At 35.8% G+C, this 21,690-nt stretch overlaps 1 protein-coding gene and 2 non-coding genes across 33 annotated transcripts in view; all 3 read right to left on the reverse strand.

The window, feature by feature from the left end:
* COP1 (COP1 E3 ubiquitin ligase) overlaps positions 1–21,690 on the reverse strand; it is a 262,456-nt gene that overhangs the window by 9,082 nt on the left and 231,684 nt on the right. For 17 of the 31 annotated variants that reach the window (XM_017002069.3, XM_017002074.2, XM_017002072.2 and 14 more), the window contains one exon: positions 46–18,168. The exons of the other annotated variants lie outside the window; for them this stretch is intronic. In XM_017002069.3, coding sequence (XP_016857558.1) covers positions 18,028–18,168 — 141 coding nt within the window. In that variant the 3' untranslated portion in view covers positions 46–18,027. Of the gene's footprint in view, positions 1–45; positions 18,169–21,690 lie in introns of those variants that run through there. 31 annotated transcript variants of the gene reach the window in all.
* Positions 14,458–14,567, reverse strand: MIR1843 (microRNA 1843). Its single transcript, NR_162097.1, has one exon. It is a non-coding gene; the product is annotated as a microRNA 1843 (primary transcript).
* On the reverse strand, positions 14,485–14,628 carry SCARNA3 (small Cajal body-specific RNA 3). Its single transcript, NR_002998.1, has one exon.

Here is a 21,690-nt window from a genome sequence, read left to right on the forward strand (position 1 = left end):
ATATAAAAGACTTAAACAATAGCATAAAAACCAAACTGAACTAACTGACATTTACAGAAAGTTTTATTTAAATGACAGAATACACATTCTTTTCAAATGCATGCGTACTAGTCCCCAACAAAGATGTGTCAGACCATAAAACAAATCACAGTAAATTTAAAGGGCTAAAATCATACAAGTATGTTCTCTGAAGAAACAGAACTAAAGTAGAAAAGAATAACAAAAAGAAATCTGGAAAAATCCACAAGTATTTGCAAATTTAAAAATATACTCCCAAATAACCCAGGGATGGAAATGAGAAACCATTTTGAACTAAAAGATAATAAAAATGCAACATATCAAAATTTGTGTAATGCACCTAAAACAATGCCTAGAAAGTTATAGCTTCCAATACTTATTAGTAAAGCAGGAAGGTTGAACATTAATGATATAGTAACTTGCACCTTAAGAAGCTAGGAAAAGAGCAAGTTACACATGACGTAAGTACAAGAATGACAGTCATGAAGAGCAGAAATCAAAATAAAACCAGAAAAAGGTAAAAAAGTATTGAAATGAAAAGTTAATTCATTGAAAAAAATCAATAAAATTGATACGCCTTAACAAAAAGAAAATGTAAGTTAACAATATCAGTAATAAATTATGGGATATCACTAGATATTCTATAGATATTAAAAGAATAATTAGAAAATAAACATGAACAATTGTATGTCAATAAAACTGACAGGTAATGAAATGAACAAATTCTATGAAAGATACAAATTCCCAATTATGACAGAAGAAAGAAAAAGTTGTTAAAAATGAAGACTAAGGAACATTTCCAAACTCAGCTTGTAAATCAAACAAAACCAGAGAAAGACATTACAAAAACAAATAAAATTACCAACTACTTTTATAAACAGATGTAAAAAACCTTAACAAAATACAAGTAAAGATAATTCAGTCATATACAAAAAGAATAATGCATCATGTCTAAATGGAATTCATCCAGATATTAAAATTGGTTTTCAACATTAAAAAATATATATATATAATTCACTATGTAAAGAGAATAGAAAAGGCCAGGTAGGGTGGCTCATGCCTGTGATAGCACTCTGGGAAGCTAAGGCAGGTGGATTGCTTGAGTCCAGGAGTGTGAGACCAGCCTGGGCAATATGGCGAAACCCTCTCTATCAAAAACACAAAAAATTAGATGGGTGTGGTGGCATGCACCTGTAGTCCCAGCTACCCAGAAGGTTGAGGTGGGAGAATCACCTGAGCCTGGGAAGGCTGTAGTGAGCTGTGATTGTGTCACTGTACTCTCGCCTGGGTGACAGGAGTGAGACCCTGCCTCAAAACAAAAAAAAGAAAAAGTAATGTAATCACAACACAGAAAATGCACTTGAGAGCATTCATCATCCCTTCAGCAAACTAAGAATAGAAAGGAACTTCTTCAAGGTGATAAGGAATACCTATGAAAAACTTACAACTAACATCATACTTAGTGGTGAAATACTGAACCCTTTCTCTCTCAGACTAGGAACAAGGTGAACATGCTTTCTCTCACCATTTGTATTCAACACTGTATTAGAGGTACAACCCAGTGCGACAGTCAAGAAAAGGAAAAAGCATATGGATCTGAAAAAAGAAAACTGTCTTCATTTGCAAAAGAGATGATGGCCTATGTGGAAAATCCTAATGTACCTTAAAAATAAGCCACTAGAATAAATAAATTGTCTTCAGCAAGATTGTCAGACACAAAGTCAATTATACCAAAATCAGTTCACTTCCATAAACTAACAATAAATGATAAGCAAATAGAATTTAAAAAATACCATTTATAGTACCATAAAAAGCATGAATCATTTAGAGACAAACCACACACACACACACACACACACACACACACACACGGCCTACATACTAAAAATTACCAAACAATGCTTAGAGATGTTAAAGAATACCTAAATAAATTGACAGTTATACCATGTTCATAGACCAGAGACTCAATAGTGTCACAATGCCAATTCTTCTTACATTATCTATAGGCTCAATGCAATTCCAATTAAAATCATACAAACTTTTCTAGTAGAAACTGGCAAAGTGATTCAAAAATTTAAATGAAAAAGCAAAGACATTATAATAGTTAAAATAATTTTGAAAAAGAAAAAATAAAACTAGGGACTTACACAACATGATTTGAAGTTCTACTGTTAATAAAAGCATTAGGAATCAATACAGTGTAGTATTATTAGGATAGACATATAAATCAAAGGCACAGAAAAGAAATTCCAGAAACAGATCCATCCATAATCAACTGAATTTCAAAACAACTTGGCAAGTTAAAAAAAAAATAGAGTAATTTTTACAAATGCTGTTGAAACAACTGCAGGTATGTGAAACAACCATATGTGTGCTAAAACAACTGTATATACAGAAAAAAGTAAACTTCAATCCTTCTATCATACCATTCCCAAAATTAATTCTAAATAGATCTAAGACATACATGTAAAAGCTGAAACAATAAAACTTCAAGAAAAAAAATCAGAGAAAATCTTTGGGTTGGCAACTATTTTTTAGGATGCAAAAAACATGTACAATAAAGGAAAAAAAAAACCCTGATAAATTGGACTTCATCAAAAATTTTAAAATACCATCCACACTTACTAGAACAACTAAATCTTTTTCTTAAAGTGACAATATCAAGTGTTGGCAAAAATATGTAACAAATGGAATGATTTTAGGATGCTGGCAGGAGTGCAAAATATAGTCATGCACTGCACAATGACATTTTGGTCAACGATGGGTCACATATATGATGGTGGTCCAATAAGATTATTGTACTATACTTCTTAATCATTAATTTAGATTATACTCCTTCTACTTATTAACAAAAAAAGTTACTGTAAAATAGGCTCAGGCAGGTCCTTCAGGAGATACTCCAGAAGAAAGCATTGTTACCATAGGAGATGACAGCTCTATGTGTGTTATTGTCCCTGAAGACATTCCGATGGGACAAGATGTAGAAGACAGTGATGTTGATGAGCTTAACAAAAAATGTTTAAAAAGTAAAAATAAATAAATACATTTAAAAATGGAAGAAAGCTTACAGAATAAGGAAAAATCTGTACAGCTGTACAATGTGTTTGTGTTTTAAGCTAAAAGTTATTACAAAAGAGTCAAAAAGTGAAAAAAATTAAAATTATAAAGTAAAAAGTTACAGTAAACTATAGTTAATTTATTATTGAAGAAAGAAAACATTTTAAAATAAATTAGTGTAGCTTAGGTATACAGTGTTGATAAAGTCTACAGTAATGTACAATAATGTCTGGGTCTTCACGTTCACTCACCACTCACTCCCTGACTCACCGAGAGCAGCTTCTACTCCACCAAGCTCCATTCATGGTAATGCCCTAGGCAGGTGTACCATTTTTTACCTTTTATATTGTATTTTTACTATAGCTTTTCTGTGTTTAGATACACAAATCCCATTGTGTTACAACTGCCTACACTATTCAGTGTAGTAACATGCTGTACAAATTTGTAGCCTAGGAGCAACAGGCTATACCACATAGCTAAGGTATGTACTAGGCTATACCATCCAGGTTTGGGAAGTACACTCTATGATGTTTGTGCAATGATGAAATCAAATCACCTAATGGCATTTCTCAAAACGTATCCCCATTGTTAAGTGACCAATGAATGTAATACAACAACTATGGAAAAAGGTTTGACAGTTTCTTATAAGGCTAAACTTACAACTACTCTACAATCTCATAATGCCACTCCTAGGTATTTATCCAAAAGAAATGATGGTATATAGTCACATAAACACTTATTTATGAATGTTTACAGCGGCTTTATTAAAAATAGTTCAAAACTGGAAACAAGGGCAATATTAAAGATTGGTGAATAGATACAAAATTTGTTGCATAGTTATAAAATGGATTACTAATAAGAAGGAACTACAGATACAGGCAATAACACAAGCATTTCAAAGTATCATGCTAAATAAAAGGAGCCAGGTGCAAAAAATTACATACTGTATCATTCCTGTTATATGAAATCCTAGAATAAGCAAAACTTAACTTATGATAACATAAAGTGGATTAGCAGTAGCTTGTAGTGGAGAAGGGAGGGGACTGATTACAAAGTGACACAAGGTAACTTTTTGGGTGATGAAAATGTTGTTATAACTGAATTAAGGTAGTAGTTATACTGATGTATACACTTGTAAAAATTCACTGAATACTCTTAAAATGTATGTAGTTTATATTTATGTAAATTATATTTCAATAATATCAATTTTAAAAAGCTGGGAACAAACACACAAGAACAAATACGTATTTTATAAGTTAACTTTAAACTCAATATTGGTCTTTAACAATTAAAAGTCATTATTCATGATTTAAATATTTTCTGATTTCCCAACATAATATATAAACCCCTTATCACTACTATATTTATGAGATCTCTGTAACCATTCAGGTATAATATCAAAGCCATTTCAGCTATGAAGCTAAATATTTCCCCCAAAATAAGGCACTGAATTATCAAAAAGAAAGGTAAATATTTTTGTCATTCCTCTCTCCCTGTTCAATATAGATGGTTTTATATATAAACCTTGCTATTTACTATGATAAGCATTTCCACCCTACATTTCTCCTCCTTTTATTAACCAGAAGATAACTATTAAACAAAATCAGAATATAACCCTTCTTTAAAATTTATTTCTCCAAATGTTAAGCATTACGTTAAATTGATGACTTCCCTCAGAATGAGAATAAATAATGTTATAGAAAAAAGAAACTGAAAAGACTTTATGTTAATAAATTTTAATATTTAAGCCAAGTGGAAAAATTCCTATAAAAACTTACCCAACTAATCAAGAAGAAATAGAAAGCAAGAATCATCCTACAGGTATTAAATTCATAAATCGACAGTCAAAAATATTTCTACCTCAGGCTTACATGACTTCATCTACGAGTTCAGCCAATATTCAAGAAAGAAATAATTTCGTATTACACAAATTTTTCCACATCAAAGGAGGAAAGAACTCCTTAATTTGCTTTATGAAGTTAATATACCCATGAAATCAAAACCTGACATGGACAATGCAAAAAAGGAAAAGATTATAGGCCAATGTTATTCATAAAGACAAATGAAAAAATCCTAAACAAAATAGTAGCAAGTTGATTTTAACAATATATAAGGAGAATAAATCTTGACCAAGTTGGGCTTATTCCAGCGAATGTAAAGTTGGTTTAATATTAGGTTAAAAAAAAATTTCACCTACTAGATCAATATTTGAAAGAAAAATATTATATCATGTTAAATAGGTACAAAAAAGCAGTAATATACTTTAGCATTCATTTATGGTAAGAACTCTCAGCACATTGAGAACTGAAGGAAACTTCTTTGTAAGGGTATGTATCTACAAAACTCTTACAGCAGACATACTTAATGATAACATCTTTAAAAGCTTTCCCTTTGGTGAGGAACAAGTCAACGATGCCAGATACCATTACTTTTATTTAACATTACATTAGATGTTCTGGCCATCAAAATACGGCAAATGAATAAAGATATAAAGGTATAAGTACTGGAAAAGCAGACACTAAACTTTAATTATTTGTGGATGAATTAATTGTGTGCATAAAAAAATCCAAGGAACGTAGAAATGAATAATTAAAATTAATAAGAGAGTTTAGCAAGATGGTTGGATTAAAAATGGGGATAATAAATAATGGATCCCTTAAGGACTACCTAGATACCTTTCTCTTATTTAGAAAAATATGTTTATTGGTTAACTTGAATAGATAATATACACATGTGGTAAAAATTCACACAGTACAAAAGAGTAGGGGAAAACTGAGTGTCTCTCATCTCCCTAGAGAGTCAACTACTATTATCAGGTGTGAAATCTTTCTAGGTAAATTACCATCATTAATGTAAACCTGAATTGTATAATAGATCAAATACATCTTCAGGGCTTTCTCAAAATGTACAGAGTCAAAAGTTTTCTATTTGGTGGTTATATCCTCCCTTTATCTTGTTTTGTGTTTCAGGTTTAACAAACAACCCTACTTGCAACTTGAGACTCCATTCTGTTTTAAGTGGCAAGCCAAATTTGATATTCAATTCTAAGCCTCTTCATCACCTAAGAGAGGTCTGTAGGCTTCTCTTATAGAAAAAACAATTTTACAGAGTTTTCTATATTCATGGAAATGCCAGTAACTGGTTTTCAGGAGGAAATGGACCAGAATTTATATACGACAATCTGTATTCCTAAAATCAAATTAACAGGTGGACAAAACATAGACAGAGTGACAGAGTAGATTAAATGTCTTTGGAGTCTGAAAGATTTCAATTCAAAGCTCTAACGCTTCTAGACTTTTCATTATGGGCAAGTTACTTGACCTCTCTGAATCTCAGTCTCCATAACTATAAAACAATGCTAATAAAACTAAGCTAACAGAACCATTTTTATGATCAAACAGACACATACATAAGTGCCTGGCATAAAGTATGTATCTTATAAGTGATCTTTAAGTGAGGGAAAATTGCTTCTGGCTTAGCAGTTCAAGGAAGGCAAGCAAAGGAGCCCAAAATGAACAAAGGGGCAGGAAGCAAAACAGAAGACTATTATGGAGGCTAAAAGAAGAGTTTAAGAAAGAGAAGCAAGTCAAAATTGTCAAAAATCATGAGGAAATGAAGACTGTTTAGTAATAATATGTTATTGGATTTGGACATTAGATGGTACTGGTAACATCAAAAGCAACTCCACCAAATGGTCAAGTTTGCATTATAAAGGGCCTTTATAAGTCCCTGGCTAACTTAGCCATTAGAAACTGGCTTTGACAGAGGCTTCGCCAGAAAGCTACTCCTGATGTCCAAGGTAACAGTGTGATGGGTAATTTTAGGTTTCAACTTGACTGGATAAAGGGATACTTAGAGAACTGGCAAAGCACTACTTCTGGGTAAGTCTGTGAGGGTGTTTCCAGAAGAGACTGGTGTGTGAGTCGGTTGACTGAGTGGGGAAGTTCAGCCCTCAATGTGGATAGGCACCATCCAATCAGCTGGGGGCCTGGATAGACAAAAAGGGAGCAGAAAGGTGAATTTGCTTCCTCTCTCCTGGAGCTGGGACACTCTTCTCCTGGCCTTGGCCATCAGAAGTCCAGATTCTCCAGCTTTTGGACTCTGGGACTTGCATCAATGGGCCCTCAAATTCTCAGGCCTTTAGCCTAAGATTCTGCCATGCTACTGGCCTCCCTGGCATATCATGGTATGTCTCACCCTCTGTAATCATGTGAGCTAATACCCCAAATAAAAACCCTGTCATAGATCTAACTATACATGTCCTATTACTTCTGTCCCTTTGGAGAACCCTGACTAAGACATAAAGAAACGCTCCCAAATTGATTCACAGAGAGAATAACTTTCAATCATCACAGTCGTTTCATTATACAGTAGTGACTTTGGCATGAAGTTTATTAATTTCATGCCACTTTATTCATCCATCATTATCCGTCCATTAGGGTAGATATCACATGCCAGATAATTGTGCTGGGTCCTGGAATTTCAAAGGAGAATAAGACATGATGTCTGATCTTAAGACCATAGGCCAACAGGGGAAATGGACTTTTAACAGAAAGAAATAGGCTGGGTGTGGTGGCTCATGCCTGTAATCCCAGCACTTTGGGAGGCTGAGGCGGGAGGATCACCTGAGCCTGGGAGGTCAAGGCTGCAATGGGCCTGAATTGGGCCACTGCATTCCAGCCTGGGTAACAGAGTGAGACCCTGTCTCAAAAAAAAAAAAAAAAAAAAAAGAATATATTATAGAGCTCAAAGGGGCAACTGAAGAAGTAAGAAGAGAGTGATCCTTTACTTGGAAAAGATAAGAAAGGCTTCACAGATTAGGTCACAAATGGAACAATGGAAGAATAAAACTTGAAATTTCACAGGAGAAAAGATGGATATGTTAGGCAAAGGGACACGGTCATGCACATGGAATAAATTTGAAAAAAAAAAATGGTTTTGGAATGATGACAAATTGTGTGGAGAAAGCAGCTTATGTATTAGTTAACGAGATGAAAATATGAGGTGGGGTAAGCATGTAAACTGTAGCATACCAGGGTTAGAAAATAAGTAAGATTAATTTATCTGTGAATTTTATTTATGGATAACAAAAGTCAGTGACTGCCTTTATGCAAAAAATAGATAGGAGCAGTTTTTCTTTGGTGTTGTAGATCAGAATATGCCATCCCAAAATATGCTACTCTGGTGGAAAGATTATTTTGAGCTGAAAGCAACTGAGGAGAGCTTTCTGCTCTCCTTCTATCTGCCTGAAAACAGACAATAAATTCCTCTTGTGAAAGAGAGGAATTCCCTGTACCCCAGTTACTTCCTGTACCAGGAAAGGGATAACAACCTTATTATTATTACCAAAGATGAGATGGTACTGAGAAAAAATCTGCACAAACCTCACTAACTAGCCCTTATCTACCATTAGTTTCTTATATATTAATATTTGCCTTCCTATTGTTCATCACTCCTAGAAGCTCAAAGTCCCTTTCCTTTGTCTTGTCGCTTCCCTTTAAATTTGTCTTCTTGTCTAAATGGTATAAAAACCTCCAAACCGAGCCTTTTCATTGGGGGTTTTCTTTCTACGAGATATCCCCCACTATTCCAACCCACCCCTGGCAGCTGATTCATGTAAAACTTTGAATATCAAATAAATTTGTATGCCTTTTCTGTTAATCCATCAGTTGTCAGTTTATTTCACAGACCTAGCCAGAGAACCTAAGAGGGTAGAAAAGAACTTTGCTTCCCACCAGTGTTCTATTCCTTCAGCCATCTCTCACCGCACCTCCCCCTCCCTGGGCACCTAGAGTCATCTCCTTTAATCCTATCTCTTAACAAAACTCTTCAATTCACATGTGTTAAGTTAAATAAGTGAATTCTTGGAAAAGCAGAAAAAAAATTAAGTTGTGTACTAGAAGGTAGAAGTTAATGATTATATCCGCAAACATAGTTCAAGATTTATTGTTTGAAGTGAATATAATGAAACATCGTCAAATAAACATTTTTTTTAATATGTGAGGGCAAACTTAACATCTTGAAAAACATGAATGTTACATGTGGGTGTTTTCTGTTATTCTTATTCCCCAGAAGGAAACTGAACACAGAAAAAAAAAACCCTGAATAATTAAATTATTTAATAACCTACCTGAGTAGACTCTCTACTTTTAATCTCTCATTACAATGCACTATACCCACTGCTATGATAATACTCTCATGGGATTATCTTCACAGTGGGCTTTAGGCATTTAATGCCTACAGAAGAAGGTCTAAACTTTTTTTTTTTCTCTCAGTATGGCATTCAAGACTATAATATCTAGCACACTCTCTGGCCTCATCTCTCAATAAAGTCCCTACTCCACCATCCTACTTAGACACTTTATTAGAAGTTTCTTAAACATCTATTGCACTTTCCCTCATCTGCGCCTTTGTTTACACTGTTCTCTAGCTTTCTGCAGTATAGCAGAAAGGGTGTACGTTTTACAGCCAGCCCGACCTGGGTTCTAATTCCAACTGTATCCCTTATTTAGCTGTGTAATCTTGGGCAAATCTGAGCGTCAATTTCACTTTTAAAGGAACTCAAGCATATATGCCTTAAAAGATTGATGATGATGATTTTAAATTAAGATAGCACTTAGTATACTGCCTGGTTGGTACTTAATAGATGTGTTTGTTTATGGTCTTTTGTCCAGGTACCTTCCTTTCCCTTTGTCTTTAGACTTCTGAAACCCTTTATATCTTTATGAAGCCCAGCTCAAAAGCCCCTATCTTCATAAAGTATTCCATCATTCTCCAAGTTAGAAGTAACGTCTTCCCTCTAGGGTCAATAATTTCAGGGGTAATGATCTTATAAAGATTTCTTTCATTTGGGTTCATACTATAGTTATTTATGAATATTTCTATTTACTAGGTTGTAAATCACTTAAATGCAGAGAATATATTTTCATATTGCACAATATTTGATGAACTAAAAACAAGTACAGTTGTCCAGTTATGTGGATTCGTATATAAAATGTTAAAGATGACAGCAACATTTACTGATTGATCATTTATCTTGTGCCAACTATTTTCTTAGTACTTTCCATGTATTTTCTAATTTTATTTCAGAATATTACATGCAAGATACTATTAATCTAATTTCACAGAAGAGGAAACTGAGGCACAGAAAGGTTAAATAACTTTCCCAAAGTCTTACAGCTAATACTTAATGGTGATAGGAGGCAAACCTGGCAACTTGGCTCCAGCACTCTCAATCAGAACATTACCCCAAGACAGAAGGTAATAAATGACACATATCCCACCCTCTACCCTTAGATGTTTAAAAGCATAACCTTGCTAAATAAGGATCTAAAAACAAAACAAAAACAAAAAAAAGCCAACAAAAATCAGAAATGTTTTCTCCCCTAAAACAACTTCATGACAAAGGAAGGTAAGTTCCTTGAAAATTTTACTGGGGAAAAAAAGCCCAGAAGATGATTTTTAATTTTAGTTCCCCTTTCAAGTGGTAGAACACTATTAGTGACACAGAAAATGTAAAGTACACTGAAATACTATTTACATTTGTCCTCTAAAAGCAGAAACTGCAGCTGAGATGGCTAGCAAAGTTATAAGCAGTTCTGCCTTAAACAATTTGTCCTATAATCACTGAATTTTCTTCTTAAAGTGTGCCCACTAAGTTTAAATTGTATGTCCATTTAAGTCCTTTAACAAGCATTTGATTAAATGGAAATGGTAAATCACTATGAACAACATACAGTATCTGCAAATACAGCTCCCTGGAGGGCACAGAACAGTGAGAAACATGGCTGAATTTAAATATCCTTCCTTAAGTAAATATAAAGAATAAAAATTTGAGGTAACTAGGCTTCACACAAAAAAACTCACAATCTATACTATATCTGTTAATTCCTTAATATTCTCTCCATAAGAGCCTCTTGTCTTATTTGGACAAAGGCATTCTCTTTATGAACACAAATGTCTTGTTTTCTCATTGCCAGAAAAGAGAGTGTTAATTTGCACTCATACAAAGATGATTTCATGTCACTGAAAATAAAAGACCATACCTGCCTTAAGCTCTTTTTCATACCAAGATTATAAACATAAAAGAATGGGCTTTTGCTCCATTTTTTTTTTCTGTCTTCAGGGTGGGCTGTTACTATTTGTACTGCAATTGCATCCTGAAAACTAAAATAGCTTCTCTCCTCATGTAGGAGGTCATGGACTCTGTGTATAGTCAAATCTGATTTTCACTCAGGATCCTACAGCCACAGAACAATTTCAAATAAATTTGCCCTTCTTTTGATGCATGATCTATAGTTGCCTTATGAACATCCTCTCCCTTGCCCTTGAGAAGAAATACAGATATAAGATATAGGGATTCTTAAATTTTTCTTTGTTCAACGCCTTGTTAAGTGATACTATTCAATTGTCCAATTTCATCACTCGTGCTGACATTTTGTTACTTCATCCTATTGGGCCACTGTTGATTTCCTGACACGCAGAATCATTCTTTTATTTAAAGCACTTTCTAGTACATCTTTTAAAATTCAAATTTCTTTTGTTTTTGGAGCTCAGAGAAATTCATTTCACTTATCTGGGTTTTTTTTTTGTTTTGTTTTTGTTTGTTTGTTTGTTTTTGAGATGGAGTCTCGCTCTGTCGCTCAGGCTGGACTGCAGTGGTGCAGTCTCGGCTCACTGCAACCTCCGCTTCCCGGGTTCAAGTGATCCTCCTGCTTCAGCCTCCTGAGTAGCTGGGATTACATGTGCGTGCCACCAAACCCAGCTAATTTTTGTATTTGGAGACGGGGTTTCATCATGTTGGTCAGGCTGGTCTCGAACTCCTGACCTCGTGACCCACCCGCCTCAGCCTCCTAAAGTGTTGGGATTACAAGCGTGAGCCACCGCACCCAGCCACTTATCTGGGTTTGATTCATCATAAGAATCCCCTTATTTGACCGGAGTGTTTCTTTACTTTATCCTAGACATAAATCTACGCTGCATTTTGAAACCAAGTGAGAGTCCATACAAAGACATTCAAACATAGGTTCCAATATCATCTTCAAAGGTTTTTAAATGCCATTTGTAAGCCTAATAGTTTCTTTTTGTCCCTGACTTTTCTTTCAGTATGTGGTCTTTCAGAGTTGACTTGGTAAAAATATATATAAATATGTCTAAGAAAGAATGAACACAAAACTACAATCTATCAATAAAAGGTCTTGGTCTTTAAACTAAAATGTTAGTTAGCCTTCCCTGCATTCTATAAAAAATCCAAGGGGGTTGAGTGAATTAGCTGTCTGAATTGTGTTTGCAATACACACACACACACACACACACACACACACACACAAACACTTAAAAACCTGTTTCATTATCACATATTTATTGAGCACTATAGGTCAGTGACTTAGTTAAGAATTTTATATGGATTACTTCACTTAATCTGCATGGCAACCCAATGAGGAAGGTACTATTTTTATCATCAATTTACAAAGAGTAAACATAGTCTTAGACTTAATAACTTGTCCAAATTCATACACACAGCTAAGAAAGAGCAAAGCCAGGAATCAACTTGTGAAAACTGAGAAATATACCAATGCTGATCTGTATCATATTGACCCAGTAAGCTTATCACATGTCTGGGCTTCATCCTGAATTTATTAAAGCAAAATGGAAGAAAGAAGAAAGGTGTCTTGGGTGGTCACTGACTATGTACAAGAGAGCCTCAGTTCTCATACATTATAAATATACATTACATTTCAAATGTCATAAACCTAGGCTCCTAAAAGCCTTGTTACATGGAAAATTTGGTCTTTTATATATCTCCCTATAAGTATTATTTCAAGTAATATCAACAGAGGAAAAGGCTTGGCCACAGAACCAAAGTGGTAAAGAGTGTTCCAAAGTCAACATACATGGCATTGACAGGCCAAATTCCCACTCTCCTTCCAATCTTCCACCCCCCATACACAAAATCCCAATTTGAGATCTGGGGAATTGGGATTTCTTCATCACAAAGGAACACTTTCAAAATCAGTTAATCCCAAATCTCTTCTTTCTTCTCCACTAGTATCCTTCCTTACAAAATCTTAAAATCGTTCATTAGAATGAACAGAACAGTGGATTTCTAAAGGGCCTAGAAAAGTATGGCTACTCATTTGACAACTGTCTAATGCAAAAACTGCTCAGGGTAAGAAATATGGGATTTCAGAACCACAAACAAGGATCCTCATACAATTAGTTATAAATAAACCCAGGCTGGTATTAAACTCCTGACCTCAGGTGATCCACCCGCCTCAGCCTCCCAAAGTGATGGGACTACTGGCGTGAGCCACCGCGCCGTTGAAAGCTCATCTCTACTAAAAATACAAAAATTAGCCAGGCATGGTGGTCCCCTGTAATTCCAGCTACTCAGGAGGCTGAGGCATGAGAATTGCTTGAACCCAGGAGGCAGGGGTTGCAGTGAGCTGAGATTATGCCACTGCACTCCAACCTGGGTGACACAGTGAGACTCAGTCTCAAAAAACAAACAAACAAACAAACAAACAAACAAACAAACCCAGCTGTGGCTGCTGTAAGTTGTAGAAGTTAGGGGAGGTAGGTGGGAGCAACCTCTCCCCACAACTTAACAGCAAAACACACAACAGGAAAAACCAAGATTTTGAATTCAGTACTAAGAAGGTTAATACTTAGCAGCAGCTTTCCTCTGCAAATGGTTATTTCTGAACTTTGGTTACAGCCTTAAAAAATTACATAAACTGGATTTTGGAGAAATCACTTTCTTAATGAGAAAATCTTCACGGAAGCTATCTCTGATTAGCTCCTTCATATCTAAAGTATTGACCTTCACTGGTAACCCTGAATTCGTTAAGCCAATGTGGCCCCTTAGAAGAATAATATTTCTTTTTTCTTTTTTTTTTGAGATGGAGTCTCGCACCGTCACCTAGCCTAGAGTGCAATGGCACAATCGCAGCTCACTGCAACCTTCGCCTCCCAGGTTCATGTGATTCTCCTGTCTCAGCCTCTCAAGTAGCTGGGATTACAGGCGCCTGCCAACACACCTGGCTAATTTTTGTGTTTTCAGTAGAGACAGGATTTCACTATGTTGGTGCCAGGCTGGTCTTGAACTCCTGACATTCAGTGATCCATCTGCCTCAACCTCCCAAAGTGCTGGGATTACAGGTGTGAGCCACCATGCTCGGCAAGAGAAGAATAATATTTCCACATTCATTCTACTTCCTGGTTGTAGGTTCCTTAAATAAGCAAATAACACCTATTTTCAAAACTCGTAAGATACCTCAAAAACCAGTTCAGACGGATACAGAGGTAACTTTACTTGGTTGCCCATTTAAAAAATAATACAGTACTCATAACCAGCAGATACTGAATAAAATGGCAAGGAAACCAAGTATTTAGAGTGGCAGTTTTAAAGGCTGTACGGAGGGGAACGATCAGACTTAGCCAGCTGTCCTAAGCCAGACAGAGACCTCCATATATTTATGTAGGATCGCTGCAATCTGTAGACAAAAGGCATTTTTTCATTTGTCCACATGGCTGGTTCCAGCAGCTTCCATTTCTGGTGTGCTTCATTATTAAGAAGACTTTTGTTAACCAGTCTTTTATATTCCAATTAACTAACTGCATCAAATTCTCATTTAAATATACTTCAGGATTCAGATAACAGGAAAAGAACCATTAAGAAGGCACACTTAGCATACAAAGTCAAAGTGATCCTTATTCAGGGAGAAAAGGCTGTGAAGAACATACACAAGGGAAGAAGGATTTAGATACAAAACAACACATACATTCATCATTCCTTTCTCAATGCTTTCCAAAGTCTTCTCGCCAACTGGCCCTAAACAACTTGATTATCCTTGTCACACTGCACTCAAATATTCTCTCTAAACACTTTCAACTTGCAGCACATGTTAACAGTTAATATCTCTGGATGATCTTCTGAGTAAAGCTTGAGAAAAATGTGCTTACAATGACAAGTATGAGGGGAAAAAAATGACTGGATTGCTGATTAATACTGAGAAGAGCTCCTCTGAGCATAGAACCGTGCATATTTAAGAGAGCTATTCGCAAATTTCCTCCAGACTACTCTGGTAAAGCTGATTCTAGAATTCAGTACTATTTGGGGAATACCATGTTAACAGAAAAAGCAATACATTCAAGGCATGGAAACCTGGATCTGAATTTTGGTTCTGCTTAATCCTTTTAGACATTCAATTTCTCCAAATATAAAGCAGATACTCTTAGGTAGAATCTGTATGAAGATTCAAGGAAAACACAGTAGAGCATTGTTAGGGACCAGAACACACTACCTCCAAATAGTCACCTTGGTATTTGAAAAAACAGCAGAAGCAGGAAGACCTTCTCCCACACTTCTCCTCTGAAGCAGGTCATAAAAGAATTCTCTGCCCTTCCACTGAAGCAGGTCATAAGACTCTCATTCCAGAGTTGCCTATCCTTACCTGAGGAAAGGAATGCCCTTATCTCTGGAGACAGAGACACAGAGAAGAAGCTCAACAAACAGGTCTTGCTAAGTTGCCCCCAGTTTATTACCATTAGATCATACCCCTTTGTCCTCCAATCATACTTCTCCATGAGACTATTCATTTCTTCATCAAACCTAAGCATAAACATATACAAGTTTACCCATTCTTTGGGTCTTCATTTCTGAAGCCTTCTGTGTCACGTAAAACTTCTATGTCATGTAAAACTTACAGAGGTCTCCGTCATGAATCAAGCCAACAGGTGAGAAAAATCTTTTCTCCCTTACAGCATGTAACCAAAGAGTAACTGGCACACTATAGGCACTAAACAAATGAATGGTAGTTGCTTTTACTAAAATACTATATAACCTTAATTTCTTTACAGTTAAAGGGTAGTTATCTCAAGCAATGATAGTACTATTAGTATCATATTAGTACTGTCAGTATCACAGTGTACTAGTAGTAATAATACTAGTGTATTATTCTAGTCAGTATATTTATGATCTTATGAAATTGATAAAAGTAGGCTCTCTGGGTTAGGCAGACTTAAATTTTATTCTCACTCAATCTTTAACTCCTCTTTCCTAGAAAACTAAGTAGCTCTTACTCTGGTAGCTGCTGGTGTTTGTATTTTTTTGCTCTCCAAGTTGAAGCAAGGAATGTACCTGGGGCAACACTAATGAAGCATAACAAACAATTCAAGATGAATGTGAACATCAGTTGGTAGACTGCATTCTATAGGTTCATCAATAGCTGTGAGAAACCAGAAACCAAGGAGATAAAATGGTTAAAAGAGGGAAAGAGAAGCAGTGATTGGGCTAAAAAATGATGAGAACTTAGTTAAGCAGAAATAAGAGGATAAGGCAATATGAAGAACAACATGAATACGAGTTTAGAAGCCGGAATGGGAATAGTATGGGACAATGAAGAAACTTTCTTAATGAAGTAGGTGAACTGTGTTAGAAAACAGAAATAAAGTTAGATGGATAGCATTATATTAGATTATTGAAAATCTTGAATGTAATAGTTTAGATACGATAGTCTAAGTGCAAACACATGAGATCAGGAAATAGAGCAGTTAAGAAGTAGATATAGGAACGACATTGTTCTATACTTATTATAAAGGCTAATTTTCTAAATACTAGTAAATTTTGAAATCTGAGTTACCTTTGAGTATTTTTTTCTATTGTACTTTTTCCTATAATTTTCTTAAGGATCATATTTAATAGTAAGGGTAAATATAATTTTAAAATTAGATACAGATATCTGAAGTGAAATAGATTAAATAACTAACAAGTTCAGGTAATATATTTATCAAAATTTCCCCTTATTTTTAGTGTTGGCCAAAATATACCAGATAGAGGTACATGCAAATGCTGAATTTGAAAAAAACTTTTCTGAAAGACCTGGGTCAACTAAAGGTAACAAGCAATGTTTGATTGATTATCTCTGTATAAAGATGAATATTTGGTAGTGCATAAAGGCCGACTGAAAGGGACATAAAGCTGTTAGAAGTAAATCGAGAGAAGGGGAAGGGGAAGGAACAGAAATGAGGAGATGAAAAGCAGAAACGAAAACAAAGATATATAGAAGACATTTCAAAGAAAGCATTACTGCTATTTGATGAATAATTAGATGGAAAATAAAGAGATGCAACAATAATGATTCTGGGGTTTTAGACTTAAATGACTTAGAAAGACTGATAAAGCCAGAAGGAAATAAGGATGTTAATATGTCAAAGTTGGAAGGGTATTTTGTAGTAACTTTTTTTTTGTTGTACAGAACATATTCTCCAAAAACTCACTGCCTGATTTAAATTAACCTCATTTGTTATATTTTGAGTCTTACAGTAAGTTCTTATTTTGGTCATTTGGGTCCTTGAAAACTTAATCAGATAAAATTTATTCATTTAGCAAATTCTTATTAAGCAAATATACAAACAGAAAAGAGCTCAAAAACTGATATTTTATAGCATTTTATTATATATAAATCCCAAAGGGAGTTTGTTGAAAATGGAGGTTCCAGGGCCTCCAGGTTGGTGAAAACATTGAGGTACTAGGAGGGTACCCATCTGGGAAGAAAATGCCAAAGTGTTTCCAAGAGTCACCAGCACAGACCTATTCTGTGTACTCCACCCGCCACTCTCCAATACCTTGCCCTATGCATCTCTTCCCATGAGCTATTTCTGAGTTGTATCCATTGTAATAAATCAGTCAATGTTTAATGGAATTTGGCTGTAAACATCAGAACACAGTACCTTTCAGGAGGCAGATCTTTGACTCCAGCTGTAATGTTCCAATTAATAATGAGCACTACCAGAATGTTCTAGCCTTTGCTTTTGCTACTGAGGAGACTGATGAGAACCCTGGCTTATTATCTAATGTCTCCCTTGGATTTAGTCTCTACATCTTCCAAAGTGACCAACAGACCATAGAGAGCCTCCTGATGTGGCACTCAGGAGGGTTTGAGACAGTACCTAATCACTCCTGTAAAGAAAGAATAGGTTTGCGGCAGCGACTGTTGGAAACACTTTGGCACTTCTAAATTTCCACCGGTGGCTCCAAGATTGGATGTGACAGAGATGGGATCTTTGCTTCTCCCATGCAATTCTAGGATACTTAACAAAACAAAAGGAGAGAATTATGTAACCCATAACAACAACAACAACAACAACAAATACAAAAGGTGGTTCTTGGTCCTCACCTTCAGAAAGTCTAAATATAACAAGTATAGGGTTTAGATATTTAAAATTTTAATTCCTATCCCAAGTAACTAATAATTCTAAAGCAGGTGATCAACAGACCATACTTTGAAAAATACTAATACACATGTTGAAACTATCTACAAATATTGAACTCAGAGGGAAAACCAAGACGTATTTTTCTGCTTTTGGTCAGGTGGCTAGTGAGAGGGAAGTGAGGAGGAAAGAATTTACCGAATACCTACTTAACACATACCATCTGAGGCCCAGAGAGCAGCAATATACAAAATACAAGAATTTTTTTTTTTTTTTTTTTTTTGAGACAGAGTCTGGCTGTGTTGCCAGAATGGAGTGCAGTGGTGTGATCTCGGCTCACTGCAACTGCCACCTCCCGGGTTCAAGCGATTCTCCTGCCTCAGCTTCCCGAGTAGCTGGGATTACAGGCGCCCACGGCCATGCCCGGCTAATTTTTGTATTTTTTAGTAGAGACGGGGTTTCACCATGTTGGCCAGGCTGGTCTCAAATCCCTGACCTCAGGTGATCTGCCCGCCTCGACCTCCCAAAATGCTGAAACTACAGGTGTAAGCCACTGCTCCCAGCCAAAAATGACAAGAATTTCTAGCCTCAGGAAGCTTTTTAGCTCATTGAGAATAACTGCACATAAGCCTTATTTATTTAATTTTTTGAGACGGAGTTTCGCTCTTGTTGCCCAGGCTGGAGTGCAATGGCACGATCTTGGCTCACCACAACCTCCGCCTCCCAGATTCAAGCAATTCTTTTGCCTCAGCCTCCCGAGTAGCTGAGATTACAGGCATGCGCCACCACACCCGGGTAATTTTGTATTTTCAGTAGAGATGGGGTTTCTCCATGTTGGTCAGGCTGGTCTCAAACTCCCAAACTCAGGGGATCTGCCCGCCTCAGCCTTCCAAAGTGCTGAGATTACAGGCGTGAACCACCCCATCTGGCCAAGCCTTATTTTTTTAACACTTTTACAAGTCTAATTTTTAGTGAAATGTATTTGGTTAAAAGATACTATAATCAGTACTGGAGTCTGAATTACACAAATGTCTCATGACAGTTTAGTAAAAGAGTTAACTTTGCAAATGGAAATACATTGAGAATTTAAAATAAAAGAAGATGAAATGGGAAACTCAGGACTGGGTTGCTACCTAAACTTCTATAGTTTGCATGTACTAATCTTTTCTTTCATCTTTCCATTCTCGTATTTTTAAACCAGCCCATGAAAATAAAATACATGAAGTCAGCATAACACAGTAAAAATTAATTCAGAAAATGTTGAATTTTACTGCATGCAGAGCTACAAGTTGCTAAATGTTACACATTTTAAAGTATATTACTGTTTACAAAGTGGTGGAAAGAAGAAATTAGGGCTGTTCTTATGAGATAACTTTGTAAGACTTAAGAGTTTTTGAAAAATATAATGGTTGCCTTGTAAAGCAGGAGCTCCCTACCACTGGAAATGTTCAAATAACTTTGAAAAACACCCCCATTAGAGATGTGATATACATAATTTCTACAATGGAAAAAAGTAAGTCTAGATCAATCTAATGGTATTTATCTACCCAATGAACACTCTAATATTTTTGTGGCTACAAAACTCAGCATTGTGCAAAGTTCCAGTATAATGGCATTATCATATGTAACAAACAGAAGTGCAGGAAAGGGTATTTGGGAACAGTGAGCAGCAAGATCTACAGCACAAAGATGAAAACAAGCAAACAAAAAACCCAGCATTCGGTGTTTGAGGATCCTACAGGCAGTTCATGTTGCTGGAGTGTAAAATGTGCTTATGCAAGTGGTAAGAGATTGAGCTGGAGAGGGAGGTGGGGGCCTGATAAAGAAGGTTGTTAGATGTCACATAAAGTTTAGATCTTATTCTGTAACCATTGGGGAAACACTAACAGATTTTAAACAGTGAGATAAACAAGTCTAGAACTATTAAGAAGTAATGGCAGGACATAAACTAAACTAAATGGCAGGAGCTTGAACTAAAGGCAGGTGGTAGAGTCACAGGGTTGGAAATAAGGATGGATTCAATATATATTAAAGGAAAAACAAGATTAAGTTTGTGCTTAGACACATACCACTGGTTAGATACATACATACTGGTTTTGCATTTGTAAGATCCAAAGTCTTTAAATTTATGAAATGCCAAAGGATAGGACTGTGCTTAAAATTTTAGAAATTTAATCCAATATTTTTCATGTGATAGTAAGTCAATGCAATAGACTACATTGTTTGAATTTCTATAGCAACTCCAAAAATTACAGGCATTCAGGGAAAAACAGAATCTGAGGAGACAAAGCAATCATTAAACCAGACTCAGGTACGACACTCAGTTCAAATGTTAAAACTGTATGAAATAAAATAACAATGATTAATATGGTTAAAGGGGTTGATGGAAAAGATATAAAACGTTTAAGATCGAATAGGTAATTTCAGTGAAGAGATTATGAGAAAGAATCAAAGAGAAATCCTAGAAATATACAAACATAGTAACAGAAATAAAAAACGCTTTTGATGCTATGATCAGCAGTCTTCAAACAGTTAAGGAAAGAATACGTGGGCCAGGCATGGTGGCTCAGGCCTGTAATCTCAGCACTTTGGAAGGCTGAGGCAGGTGGATCACCTGAGGTCAGGAGTTTGAGACCAGTCTGACCAATATGGGTGGTCAAGGCTGCAATGAGCCATGGCTGCACTGCACTACAGCCTAGGTGACAGACCAAGACCCTGTCTCAAAAAAAAAAAAAAAAAAAACCCACAAAGAAAACCCCCCAAAATTGCATAATTCAAATGCAATTCATGCAAAGAACCAAAATCTCATGCTCATTTTTAAAAAATATTGACAGCTGTCAGTAAGAAACATGGCACCTAAAGGGCAGGTAGGAAATCTCTTCCTAAGGATTTATTCACACCTATTCAGAGCCAACAGTTTCATTCTTAGTAACTCTGGTTGATGCAAATCTCTGTATCTAAAATACATAGGATATATAAAAGCTTCTAAGTTACCTATGCTTTTGATAGATTTCATTTGATAGGATAAATATACCTTTAAACAATTTACTAATATTATCCCCCACCCCAAAACCTTCCCCACTCCCACCACCATTAGTTACATTAGATGTGTGAGTTTGGAGTTAATATGGCATTTAAACAAAGACTAACAAAAAACCAAAAGCCAGAACCCACAACCATCCCGAAGTTATTACTCTTGAAAAATGATCCTTTTCTCTTTTTTTTGAGACAGGGTTTCACACTTTGTCACCCAGGCTGGAGTGCAGTGCCACGATCTCGGCTCACTGCAATCTCTGCCTCCTGGGTTCAAGCGATTCTCATGTCTCAGCCATCTCAGTAGCTGGGATTATAAGCATGCGCCAATATGCCAGGCTACTTTTTGTATTTTTAGTAGAGACAGGG

This window comes from Homo sapiens, chromosome 1 (assembly GCF_000001405.40).
Source record: "Homo sapiens chromosome 1, GRCh38.p14 Primary Assembly".
NCBI classification, from domain to species: domain Eukaryota; kingdom Metazoa; phylum Chordata; class Mammalia; order Primates; family Hominidae; genus Homo; species Homo sapiens.